General features: G+C 39.4%; 1 annotated feature.

Moving 5' to 3' along the window:
* Nucleotides 8,066-8,637: an enhancer, noted in NCBI's record as "H3K27ac-H3K4me1 hESC enhancer chrX:148517664-148518235 (GRCh37/hg19 assembly coordinates)". NCBI's record gives its function as "activates a minimal SCP1, AML or CMV promoter by ChIP-STARR-seq in naive H9 embryonic stem cells {active_cell/tissue: H9 hESC(naive)}" and the evidence as "EXISTENCE:reporter gene assay evidence [ECO:0000049][PMID:30033119]".

The following is a 14,005-nucleotide window of genomic DNA, read 5'->3' as shown; positions in this document are numbered from 1 at the left end:
TGTTCTATAGGTTTTGTTTCTAAATGGGATCTCCTTTTAAAATTGTATTTTCTAACATGTTATTGCGGGCATATAGAGTACTGTAAATCCTATACATTTATTTTGTAACCACCTACTGAATTGTCTTAGTAGTTCTTATAGTTGATTCTCTTACATGTCTTAAGTAGAGTGCGACAGCATCTGCAAAGATGATTTTGTCTTCTAATTTCCAATATTACCTAATTTCTTCTTCTTGATTTGCTATATGCATGTTTATAAATATATTCTATAAATTTGGGATTATATAGAACATAAAATTCACACAATGCACATATATAATGTAATATATGTAGGATTTAATATAATTTAAATATAGTATGATAATTTAATATAGTGTGAGAATTTCCTCATTGGCACTCTACTATTTTGAGAAAATCCTAATTTTAATATTTGCATAAAATTGCATTGTATAAGGTGCACTATAATTTATTTTTACATTATTTTTCATTTTTAAATATTTATTTAACTTTTGATTTTAAAATAATTTCAGATTTACAAAAATTCAAAAAAGAATGCATAGCATTCTCATACGCCCTTCATCCAGTTCCCTCAAATATTAACATCTTATATAACCATAGTAAAATTATCAAAACCAGCTTATTATCATTGATGCAATACAGATGCTCCTCAACTTTCAATGGGGTTACCTCCTGATAAACCCATCATACATTGAAAATATATGTACAAAATGCATTTAATACACTGTAGAATATGGGTTGTTTACCTTCGTGATCACGTGGCTGGCTGGAAGCTGCAGCTCACGGCTGCTGCCCAGCATCCTCAGAGCATTGCACTACATATCACTAGCCTAGGAAAAGACCAAAACTCAATGTTCCAAGTACAGTTTCTATTTAATGCATATTGTCACTTTCATACCAGTTTTTATTTAATGTATATCATCACTTTCACACCATATGTAAAGTAAAATAAATTATAAGTTGAACCTTTGTTAAGTCAAGGACCATCTGTACTATTAATAAATCTACAGACATTATACAGACTTCAATTATCCCACTAATATCTTTTTTGAGGGGGATCCAGGATCCAATCCATCACCACACATTGCATCTAGTTGTCAGGTCTCCTTAGTCTCCTGTAATCCGAGACACTTCTTTAGTCTTTATTTTTAGTGATTCTGAGACTTTTGAAGAAAACTAGCGATTTATTTTGTAGAATGTTGTTCAACTTGAGTTTGTCTGAGGCTTCATAGGGCATCCTGTCTGGAGAGATAAGATGTCGATATGTTCCAATATTGATGACAACTTTGATTGTTGTTTGCCTGCTTTCTCCACTGTCAGGGTACTATTTTCCCTTCGTAAGTATAAGTATCCTGTGGGGAGATATTTTGAGAATATGTAAACATCCTGTTTTTCATCATGCTTTTATCCACTAATTTTAGCATCCATTGATGGTTTTTCTTGAAACAAGTATCACTGTGGTGTTTGCAAATGGTGCTTTTCTGTTTCCGTTACTCCTTCTATATTTATTAAATGAAAGAGCTTTCCTTTCTCCCTCATTTATTTATTTCAATTACGTTTTGTATGGACTCATGTATATTTCATACTTTGGGTTATAATTCAATACTATGTTATTTGTTTTGTCGCACAAATTGTTTTAACTGTAACCATTGGGTGCCTTTTCAGGTTAGCTCTTGAGTCCTTTTGGCATGTCCCCATCCCTTCATTCTTTGAGCATTTCTTTACTTTCTGGTACTATGAGATGCTTCAGGCTCATCTTGTCCATTCCCTGATCCAGTCCACTTCTCCAAGGAGAATGGTATTTTGAAATCAAAATCTGGGAACTAGGTGTGTTAGTTGCTACCAGGGCCATTGCTTCTGGGGTCTTCTTAGTGAGCAGAGCTGCAAAGTATATGTGTATATACACAGAAACATATACACATTCAGATGCATATTATATGTCTTGCTAAGGAAATGTTTTTATAACACATTTTATTAAGAATATTTCTTACGAACTTGTGGATTTTAACAAATGTCCTCCTGACATATATCAAGATGACTTTATCCCTTTGATACTGATGTGATGAGTGCTATTCATAGATTTCCTAACAATCGAACACCTATGCATGCCTAACATAAAACCTACCTAGTCATGGTGAACTAGTCTTTTAATACTTTTTATTCTTCAGTAATTGCATTGCTAGTATTTTATTTAGAATTTATGCTGCTATGCATCCATATTTTCAAATTATATTGGTTTTCAGTTCTATTTTTGGTACTTTGTCAGGTTTTGATATCAAAGTTAAGGTGGTTGTACTAGTTTCCTGGGGCTGCTGTAACAAATTATCACAAATTGGGTAGCCTAAAACAATAGAAACGTATTCTCTCATAATTCAGAAAGCCAGGAGTCTGAAATAACGGTGTCAGCAGGGTTGGTTCCTTCTGGGGGCTCAGAGGGAAAATCTGTTCCATGCCTCTTTCCTAGATTCTGGTGGTTCTTAAGATTCTTGACTTGTTCCTTGACTTATAGATGCATCACTCCAATTTCTGCTTCCATCTTCACATGGCTTTTTTCCCTGTGTGTCTCTGTGTCCTCTATTCTTCTTATAAGGAAGTCATCGGGTTTAGGGCCCATCCTAAATCCAAAATGATTTCACCATATGATCCTCAACTAGTTACATTTGCAAAGACTCTATTTCCAAATAAGATCACAGTTTGAGCTTCCAGGTAGAAATGAATTTTGGGTAGACACTCTTCAACCCAGTACAGTGGCTCAGGAAAATTAAGCAGATTATTATTTATTTTATTTTATTTTTGTAATTTGGAACCTGTTTCTTTTCAGTCATGGTAATCTGAAACCTGAGTGTCAGGTCTTATGCACTGCTTTTCTCATTTTATTTTATTTTTTTAAATTATTTTTTTTCTGTTTTTAGTTCTATAATCTTTTTTTTTTTATTATACTTTAAGTTTTAGGGTACATGTGCACATTGTGCAGGTTAGTTACATATGTATACATGTGCCATGCTGGTGCACTGCACCCACTAACTCCTCATCTAGCATTAGGTATATCTCCCAATGCTATCCCTCCCCCCTCTCCCCACCCCACAACAGTCCCCAGAGTGTGATATTCCCCTTCCTGTGTCCAAGTGTTCTCATTGTTCAATTCCCACCTGTGAGTGAGAATATGCGGTGTTTGGTTTTTTGTTCTTGCGATAGTTTACTGAGAATGATGATTTCCAATTTCATCCATGTCCCTACAAAGGACATGAACTCATCATTTTTTATGGCTGCATAGTATTCCATGGTGTATATGTGCCACATTTTCTTAATCCAGTCTATCATTGTTGGACATTTGGGTTGGTTCCAAGTCTTTGCTATTGTGAATAATGCCACAATAAACATACGTGTGCATGTGTCTTTATAGCAGAATGATTTATAGTCCTTTGGGTATATACCCAGTAATGGGATGGCTGGGTCAAATGGTATTTCCAGTTCTAGATCCCTGAGGAATTGCCACACTGACTTCCACAATGGTTGAACTAGTTTACAGTCCCAGCAACAGTGTAAAAGTGTTCCTATTTCTCCACATCCTCTCCAGCACCTGTTGTTTCCTGACTTTTTAATGATTGCCATTCTAACTGGTGTGAGATGGTATCTCATTGTGGTTTTGATTTGCATTTCTCTGATGGCCAGTGATGGTGAGCATTTTTTCATGTGTTTTTTGGCTGCATAAATGTCTTCTTTTGAGAAGTGTCTGTTCATGTCCTTCGCCCACTTTTTGATGGGGTTGTATGTTTTTTTCTTGTAAATTTGTTTGAGTTCATTGTAGATTCTGGATATTAGCCCTTTGTCAGATGAGTAGGTTGCGAAAATTTTCTCCCATTTTGTAGGTTGCCTGTTCACTCTCATGGTAGTTTCTTTTGCTGTGCAGAAGCTCTTTAGTTTAATTAGATCCCATTTGTCAATTTTGTCTTTTGTTGTCATTGCTTTTGGTGTTTTAGACATGAAGTCCTTGCCCATGCCTGTGTCCTGAATGGTAATGCCTAGGTTTTCTTCTAGGGTTTTTATGGTTTTAGGTCAAACGTTTAAGTCTTTAATCCATCTTGAATTGATTTTTGTATAAGGTGTAAGGAAGGGATCCAGTTTCAGCTTTCTACATATGGCTAGCCAGTTTTCCCATTTATTAAATAGGGAATCCTTTCCCCATTGCTTGTTTTTCTCAGGTTAGTCAAAGATCAGATAGTTGTAGATATGCGGCGTTATTTCTGAGGGCTCTGTTCTGTTCCATTGATCTATATCTCTGTTTTGGTACCAGTACCATGCTGTTTTGGTTACTGTAGCCTTGTAGTATAGTTTGAAGTTAGGTAGCGTGATGCCTCCAGCTTTGTTCTTTTGGCTTAGGATGACTTGGCAATGCGGGCTCTTTTTTGGTTCCATATGAACTTTAAAGTAGTTTTTTCCAATTCTGTGAAGAAAGTCATTGGTAGCTTGATGGGGATGGCATTGAATGTGTAAATTACCTTGGGCAGTATGGCCATTTTCATGATATTGATTCTTCCTACCCATGAGCATGGAATGTTCTTCCATTTGTTTGTATCCTCTTTTATTTCCTTGAGCAGTGGTTTGTAGTTCTCCTTGAAGAGGTCCTTCACATCCCTTGTAAGTTGGATTCCTAGGTATTTTACTCTTTTTGAAGCAATTGTGAATGGGAATTCACTCATGATTTGGCTCTCTGTTTGTCTGTTGTTGGTGTATAAGAATGCTTGTGATTTTTGTACATTGATTTTATATCCTGAGACTTTGCTGAAGTTGCTTATCAGCTTAAGGAGATTTTGGGCTCAGACAATGGGGTTTTCTAGATATACAATCATGTCGTCTGCAAACAGGGACAATTCGACTTCCTCTTTTCCTAATTGAATACCTTTTATTTCCTTCTCCTGCCTAATTGCCCTGGCCAGAACTTCCAACACTATGTTGAATAGGAGTGGTGAGAGAGGGCATCCCTGTCTTGTGCCAGTTTTCAAAGGGAATGCTTCCAGTTTTTGCCCATTCAGTATGATATTGGCTGTGGGTTTGTCATAGATAGCTCTTATTATTTTGAAATACGTCCCATCAATACCTAATTTATTGAGAGTTTTTAGCATGAAGGGTTGGTGAATTTTGTCAAAGGCTTTTTCTGCATCTATTGAGATAATCATGTGGTTTTTGTCTTTGGCTCTGTTTATATGCTGGATTACATTTATTGATTTGCGTATATTGAACCAGCCTTGCATCCCAGGGATGAAGCCCACTTGATCATGGTGGATAAGCTTTTTGATGTGCTGCTGGATTCGTTTTGCCAGTATTTTATTGAGGATTTTTGCATCAATGTTCATCAAGGATATTGGTCTAAAATTCTCTTTTTTTGTTGTGTCTCTGCCCGGCTTTGGTATCAGAATGATGCTGGCCTCGTAAAAAGAGTTAGGGAGGATTCCCTCTTTTTCTATTGATTGGAATAGTTTCAGAAGGAATGGTACCAGTTCCTCCTTGTACCTCTGGTAGAATTCGGCTGTGAATCCATCTGGTCCTGGACTCTTTTTGGTTGGTAAGCTATTGATTATTGCCACAATTTCAGATCCTGTTATTGGTCTATTCAGAGATTCAACTTCTTCCTGGTTTAGTCTTGGGAGAGTGTATGTGTCGAGGAATGTATCCATTTCTTCTAGATTTTCTAGTTTATTTGCGTAGAGGTGTTTGTAGTATTCTCTGATGGTAGTCTGTATTTCTGTGGGATCGGTGGTGATATCCCCTTTATCATTTTTTATTGCGTCTATTTGATTCTTCTCTCTTTTTTTCCTTATTAGTCTTGCTAGCGGTGTATCAATTTTGTTGATCCTTTCAAAAAACCAGCTCCTGGATTCATTAATTTTTTGAAGGGTTTTTTGTGTTTCTATTTCCTTCAGTTCTGCTCTGATTTTAGTTATTTCTTGCCTTCTGCTAGCTTTTGAATGTGTTTGCTCTTGCTTTTCTAGTTCTTTTAATTGTGATGTTAGGGTGTCAATTTTGGATCTTTCCTGCTTTCTCTTGTGGGCATTTAGTGCTATAAATTTCCCTCTACACACTGCTTTGAATGCGTCCCAGAGATTCTGGTATGTTGTGTCTTTGTTCTCGTTGGTTTCAAAGAACATCTTTATTTCTGCCTTCATTTCGTTATGTACCCAGTAGTCATTCAGGAGCAGGTTGTTCAGTTTCCATGTAGTTGAGCGGTTTTGAGTGAGATTCTTAATCCTGAGTTCTAGTTTGATTGCACTGTGGTCTGAGAGATAGTTTGTTATAATTTCTGTTCTTTTACATTTGCTGAGGAGAGCTTTACTTCCAACTATGTGGTCAATTTTGGAATAGGTGTGGTGTGGTGCTGAAAAAAATGTATATTCTGTTGATTTGGGGTGGAGAGTTCTGTAGATGTCTATTAGGTCTACTTGGTGTAGAGCTGAGTTCAATTCCTGGGTATCCTTGTTGACTTTCTTTCTCGTTGATCTGTCTAACGTTGACAGTGGGGTGTTAAAGTCTCCCATTATTAATGTGTAGGAGTCTAAGTCTCTTTGTAGGTCACTCAGGACTTGCTTTATGAATCTTGGTGCTCCTGTATTGGGTGCATATATATTTAGGATAGTTATCTCTTCTTGTTGAATTGATCCCTTTACCATTATGTAATGGCCTTCTTTGTCTCTTTTGATCTTTGTTGGTTTAAAGTCTGTTTTATCAGAGACTAGGATTGCAACCCCTGCCTTTTTTTATTTTCCATTTGCTTGGTAGATCTTCCTGCATCCTTTTATTTTGAGCCTATGTGTGTCTCTGCACGTGAGATGGGTTTCCTGAATACAGCACACTGATGGGTCTTGACTCTATCCAATTTGCCAGTCTGTGTCTCTTAATTGGAGCATTTAGTCCGTTTACATTTAAAGTTAATATTGTTATGTGTGAATTTGATCCTGTCATTATGATGTTAGCTGGTTATTTTGCTCGTTAGTTGATGCAGTTTCTTCCTAGTCTTGATGGTCTTTCATTTTGGCATGATTTTGCAGCAGCTGGTTCTGGTTGTTCCTTTCCATGTTTAGCTCTTCCTTCAGGAGCTCTTTTAGGGCAGGCCTAGTGGTGACAAAATCTCTCAGCATTTGCTTGTCTGTAAAGTATTTTATTTCTCCTTCGCTTATGAAGCTTAGTTTGGCTGGATATGAAATTCTGGGTTGAAAATTCTTTTCTTTAAGAATGTTGAATATTGGCCCCCACTCTCTTCTGGCTTGTAGGGTTTCTGCCGAGAGATCCGCTGTTAGTCTGATGAGCTTCCCTTTGAGGGTAACCCGATCTTTCTCTCTGGCTGCCCTTAACATTTTTTCCTTTGTTTCAACTTTGGTGAATCTGACAATTATGTGTCATGGAGTTGCTCTTCTCGAGGAGTATCTTTGTGGAGTTCTCTGTATTTCCTGAATCTGAACATTGGCCTGCCTTGGTGGATTGGGGAAGTTCTCCTGGATAATATCCTGCAGAGTGTTTTCCAACTTGTTTCCATTCTCCCCATCACTTTCAGGTACACCAATCAGACGTAGATTTGGTCTTTTCACATAGTCCCATATTTCTTGGAGGCTTTGCTCGTTTCTTTTTATTCTTTTTTCTCTAAACTTCCCTTCTCGCTTCATTTCATTCATTTCATCTTCCATCGCTGATACCCTTTCTTCCAGTTGATCGCATCGGCTCCTGAGGCTTCTGCATTCTTCACATAGTTCTTGAGCGTTGGTTTTCAGCTCCATCAGCTCCTTTAAGCACTTCTCTGTAGTGGTTATTGTAGTTATACATTCTTCTAAATTTTTTTCAAAGTTTTCAACTTCTTTGCCTTTGGTTTGAATGTCCTCCCATAGCTCGGAGTAATTTGATCGTCTGAAGCCTTCTTCTCTCAGCTCGTCAAAGTCATTCTCCATCCAGCTTTCTTCCGTTGCTGGTGAGGAACTGCGTTCCTTTGGAGGAGGAGAGGCATTCTGCTTTTTAGAGTTTCCAGTTTTTCTGTTCTGTTTTTTCCCCATCTTTGTGGTTTTATCTACTTTTGGTCTTTGATGATGGTGATGTACAGATGGGTTTTTGGTGTGGATGTCCTTTCTGTTTGTTAGTTTTCCTTCTAACAGACAGGACCCTCAGCTGTAGGTCTGTTGGAATACCCTGCCGTGTGAGGTGTCAGTGTGCCCCTGCTGGGGGGTGCCTCCCAGTTAGGCTGCTCGGGGGTCAGGGGTCAGGGACCCACTTGAGGAGGCAGTCTGCCCGTTCTCAGATCTCCAGCTGCGAGCTGGGAGAACCACTGCTCTCTTCAAAGCTGTCAGACAGGGACATTTAAGTCTGCAGAGGTTACTGCTGTCTTTTTGTTTGTGCCCTGCCCCCAGAGGTGGAGCCTACAGAGGCAGGCAGGCCTCCTTGAGCTGTGGTGGGCTCCACCCATTTCAAGCTTCTGGGCTGCTTTGTTTACCTAATCAAGCCTGGGCAACGGCGGGCGCCCCTCCCCCAGCCTCGCTGCCGCCTTACAGTTTGATCTCAGACTGCTGTGCTAGCAATCAGCGAGACTCCGTGGGCGTAGGACCCTCCGAGCCAGGTGCGGGATATAATCTCGTGGTGCGCCATTTTTTAAGCCGGTCGGAAAAGCGCAGTATTCAAGTGGGAGTGACCCGATTTTCCAGGTGCGTCCGTCACCCCTTTCTTTGACTCGGAAAGGGAACTCCCTGACCCCTTGTGCTTCCCAAGTGAGGCAATGCCTCACCCTGCTTCGGCTCACACACGGTGCACGCACCCACTGTCTGGCACTCCCTAGTGAGATGAACCCAGTACCTCAGATGGAAATGCAGAAATCACCCTCTTCTGCATCGCTCACGCTGGGAGCTGTAGACCGGAGCTGTTCCTATTCGGCCATCTTGGCTGCAGTCCTGCATTTCTCATTTTAAATTACTGATGCTATTGGTACCATATTTTAGCCTCTGACATTCCTTTATTATTTAGGCTATTTAGTGCCTCAGCCATCTTTATAGTTTTTTCATTGGTTAACTGTGTTTTCTTCATATATAAATCTATAAGTCACATGTAATCATGTAATTAAAAAGTATTTGTATGTTAATCTATGCAGCACAGTATGTATATTATATAGATACCTAAGGTTACACATTATTGGTATCTGGCAATAAGCTGACATCTGATGGGGAGTGCTAACATTTTATTAATTGCTTTGTGTTTATAATTGGTTTATGCATACTACATACGTATCACTCTTGCTTTTATTTAGAAAATTAACCATACATTTGTGATGCTTTTAATAGGGATCAAACTACTCCAATCAGTTCTCATTATATTAAAGAGCAATTATTTTCACCATATGCCATATAAAGCCTCAACCTTCAATCTTGATACCATCCTCAGGAGGGTGCCATTCAAACTTGTAGGATGAGTTGAATTTCAATGTAAATGTATGTCTTCTGTTAGAACTGGGGAATAACCTGAAGAAGGCCAGGAAGATCAAAGAGTAGGAGGTTGGCAAGCTCTGCAAGGAGCATTTGAGACAGACAGTGAGAGGGGAGGGATGTGGTCAATGAATCGAGGCCAACTTGAGGGGAGATCATGCTGTAAAGATTTTGTGGGAGAGGAATGCAAGCCCCTGTCTTCTCTTGCAGAGACTACTTGAATGTCTCAAGTCTTGTCTGCCTTTCATTTGGTTTATATTTAGCCCTGTGACTCTTGGGGCTCATCTGTCCAGCAGGGGTGTTTAATCCAACCTCATTCAAACCCTTCCAAAAAGAGAACCAGTCAAGATTCAGAAACTGAGTCATGGTCTTCCTTTGGACATTGCTTCTCTGCTTTTTAAATAAGCACATATGATGTGTTCAATTTATACTTGATGAGTAAATACTTCATGGTTTTTTTCCACAGCATAAAGCTGAGCATATAGTAACAACTGGCTACAATTTTCTTGAATACCTACTATGTACTCAGCTGAGTATCTCACCTGAGTATATGCTCACCTGAGTGATCTCACTTAATTGTTGCAAAAAGCAGATGACACTCAACTCAGAAGTTACTGTGAGATTAAATGATACAATTCATGTAAACCACTTAACATAGTGAGTAGCTGATTTTATAAATGAGAAAATGGAGGCCCAGAAAGGTTAAGCAACTTGCCCAAGGTCACATAGAAAGCAATAGAGCTGAGATTCCAGCCCAGCATTATCAGGCTCAAAACCCATGCTCTCCTTACTGTCCTATGCTAGAGGGAGGTGGCTTAATTCAAGTGGAATAAAGAGACTCTTTAAAGGCTGTATACCCCATGAGCACATTAAGCTGGTTATTTGACTGCTGTATTTTGCTAATTAATTTAATACTTGCTTAAACCTAATAAAAATGATTACAGTGAAGCTTTCAAATTTCCAGAGAACATTGTTTAAACACAGTGGAGCAAGCAGGGTAGAGGAAAAGAAATGGAAAAGAGGCAGAGGCCTTCATTGCATTGCCATGTGCCTGTTTTTTAAATTAGACATTCTAAATTCTTCCATCAGGGTGGTTTGGTGTGTCCATCTAGGCAGTTTTCCACTGCTTGGAAAAGACCTAAAGGCTTTTGTTCAACATAAAAGAATTTTCTCATTCCCACCTACAGTAATTGCCGAGAATGAGATCTGTTACAGTCCTTCCAAGAATGATTGCCTTTCTATGCCTAATGCCATGTAGTAGAATTTAGGATCACCTTGAGACCTTGCAGGGCACCAGCCTCCTATGTTGGTCAGCAGTACTGTGGTTTAAGAGGCATGCTTAAGTTTCCGTTTGCATCATGACGCTTGTTTATAATTATCTCTCTCTGGGTCACCCCAGGATGCTTCAGCAGCCATGAAGGACAGTACACTTTCAAACAGGGCCGTACACTTCCCTTGCCGTTCAGATGCAAAACTTGAAACCTGAATAGAAGAAGGGATTATTCTATGTCACATAGTAAGTTAGTGGCAGTGTGGACCCAGTATTCTGACTTCGTGGGGAAAGTGAACTTAATCTAAACTCATTGAAAACTGTTGAAGGATACAACTAATCATATGCACTAGATAAACTGTCACAGGAAACTGCAGGAGGTGCTGATAAAGAATTATAAAGAACAAAATGCCAGAGGAAGCCTAATAATCAGGAAAAACAGAACTCAAAAGTAACTACTGTCAAGGTAACTACTGATGTAAATTGAATATCTGCTGCTTCTTAAAAGTAGGATGATATAGAACAACTGTAGCTTTAATTCCGTACAAATAGACCTGAAAATCCACTCCAGCTTTGTAGACCGTTGCTAGTTCCCTGAATGCATTCAGAGTATTTTCTCCGGTCACAGTGCAATCAGCTAATTCTATAATTATGAACTGGTGTGCTCCTTTGAGTCTAGACATCTCTTTATTTTGTTCCCCTCGACACTTCCAAGCCAGCGTATTGTACCCCAGATAGCCTTTTCACTCCTTGTGGCCTTGCTGTTAAGGACTCAAGAGTTTTCTAGGAAATGAGGGAGTAGTCCTGTTGAAAGAAAAGAAAACCAAACACATCTTTCTCCAATTCCCCAACCTCCAGTGTTCCTTCAGTTCAATCATCTGCGAACTGCTACTATTATTGTTTTGTTTGAGGGTTTAGGATCCCCTGCTGGACACTATGTAATGTTCACCCCAAAGGTTTATGGATGTTGGCACAAATGACACATAGGCACCAATAGATGTTGCAGTAGGCTGAAATAGAGCCCCAGAATACATCAGATTCTAATCCCTGGAAACTGAAAACGTCAACATATTTGAAAATAGAGTCTTTGTGGATTTTTCTGCGATTAAGGATCTTGAGATAGGGAGATTATCCTGGATTATCTGAGTGATACAGAAATGCAATGACTTGTATCCTTATAAGAAGGAGGCACAGAAAGATTTTACAAACACACGGAAGAGACACCAATATAAAGACGAGCAGATAGAGACTTGAAGATGCTGGTTTTGAGGATTAGAGTGATGCAGTCACAAGCCAAGGGATACAAGCAGCCATCAGAGGCTTGAAGTGGCAAAGAACAGGTCCTCCCATAGAGCCTCTGCATGGAGTATAGTCCTGTCAACACCTTGATTTCAGACAAGTGAAACTGATTTTGGACTCCTGCCTTCTAGAAGTGTGAGAAAATAATTTTTTTTGTTGTTTTAAGACACTAATTTTGTGGTAATTTACAGCAGCCATAGGAAAAGCATACGGTTTATTACTCACATAGTAAACAGCAAAAGTATTCCCCAAAGAGAAAGCCTTAGGCTCTGTCTGGAGTGAATTAGGAGTGAAGTAGTGGTGGGTGGCTTTGGGTTTTTATTGTGGTTAAGGGTGGAGCTGGGGTGAAGGTTTACGCATGGGGTTGGTCTTTTAATGGTTTGCAATTTCTACTGGTACCAAGGGACAAAGCACCTATCTTGCTCAGATATGGGGCAAAGGGAAAGGAATAGGGACTGAACTTGAAAGTTCTCAGTGGAGAACTTTCTCTCTCTAAAATTAACTTTTAGAGTTAGTTATGACCTGACTCATAGACCTGTTGAGAGGATTAAATGCGTTAAAGCAAGTAAAACCTTTAGAACAGTGCTTGGCCCAAATTGTCTAATAGATATTGGCTGCTTTTAAAAATCACTTTGTGTTTTAGTTTCCCAAGCCAGTATTGGAGTACTCAAAAGGTTTGTTTCTGAGCTTTCTTCTTTTCTATACTTCCTCCCTAGGGTGGTTTCACCAATCCCTCAGCCTTTAAATGATATGCAATTTTACCTGCGCAGTGGCTCTTTCCCCAGGCTCCAGACTACTGTGTCCAACTCCATACTCACCATCTTTATATGGAACTCTAACAGGCATCTCAAGTGTAATATGTCTCCCCTTGCAAGTACTTTTCCTATCTCCAGTCTTCCCTGCCTCATCCTTCCTGCTGTCTAAGCCAGGACCCTGGAAGCTACGCTGGACTCCCTGCCCTGACCCCCATCATCACCAAGCTCAGCTGATTCAATGTCCTCTCCAATCTCGTCAGCCACTTTATTTCAGCACCTTAAAATGCACCCCTTATCTTAGCCCCTTTTGTTGGCAGACTTCATCAAAGTCCCCCACTCTGAATCTCTCTAGATTAGTGGTTGTCCATCTTGTGTATACATTAGAATCAACTGTTTTCTTTTCTTCTCATTACCAGACAAAGTCTGTTAGGATATCCAGAGATGAAACTCAGACATCAGTAATTTTTAAGCCTCTGGTAATTCCAATATGCAACCAAGGTGGAGGCCCACTGTGTTGGACTTCAGGTGAGAAGCTGGACACAATGCGTCAACAGAGGAGATGAACTTTAGGAAACTCCATACTGTTTTTTTTATAGTGACTGCACCAATGTACCTTTCTACCAACAGTGTACAAGGGTCCCATTTTCTCCAGATTTTTGCCAACACTTGTTATCGCTTGTGTCTTTGAGAATAACTATCTTCACAGGTGTAAGGTGGTATCTCTTAGTGATTTTGATATGCATTTTATTGATGGTTAGTGGTGTTGAGCACCTTTTCACGTACCTGTTGGCCATTTTAATGTCATCTTTGGAGAAAAGTCTATTCAAGTCCATTGCCAGGTTTTATTTATTTATTTATTTAGAGACAAAGTCTCACTCTGTCGCCCAGGCTGAAATGCAGTTGCACGACCTTGGCTCACTGCAACCTCCACCTCCTGGGTTCGGGGGTAAGCCATTCTCCTGCTTCAACCTCCCCAGTAGCTGGGATTACAGGCACCCAGCACAGAGCCCAGCCATTTGCCCATTTTTAAATCAGGTAATATATTTTCTTCTTATTGAGTTGTATGACTTCCTTATATAGCTTGGATATTAACCTCTTACCTGATATATGGTTTGTGAATATTTTTCCCAGTCTGTAGGTTGCCTTTTTATTTTGGTAATTGTTTTCTTTGCTGTGAAGAAGCTTTTTAGTTTGATGTGGTCTCATTTATTTATT

This window comes from Homo sapiens, chromosome X, assembly GCF_000001405.40.
Source record: "Homo sapiens chromosome X, GRCh38.p14 Primary Assembly".
Lineage (NCBI taxonomy): Eukaryota > Metazoa > Chordata > Mammalia > Primates > Hominidae > Homo > Homo sapiens.
This window is presented reverse-complemented; position numbering and strand designations above follow the sequence as displayed.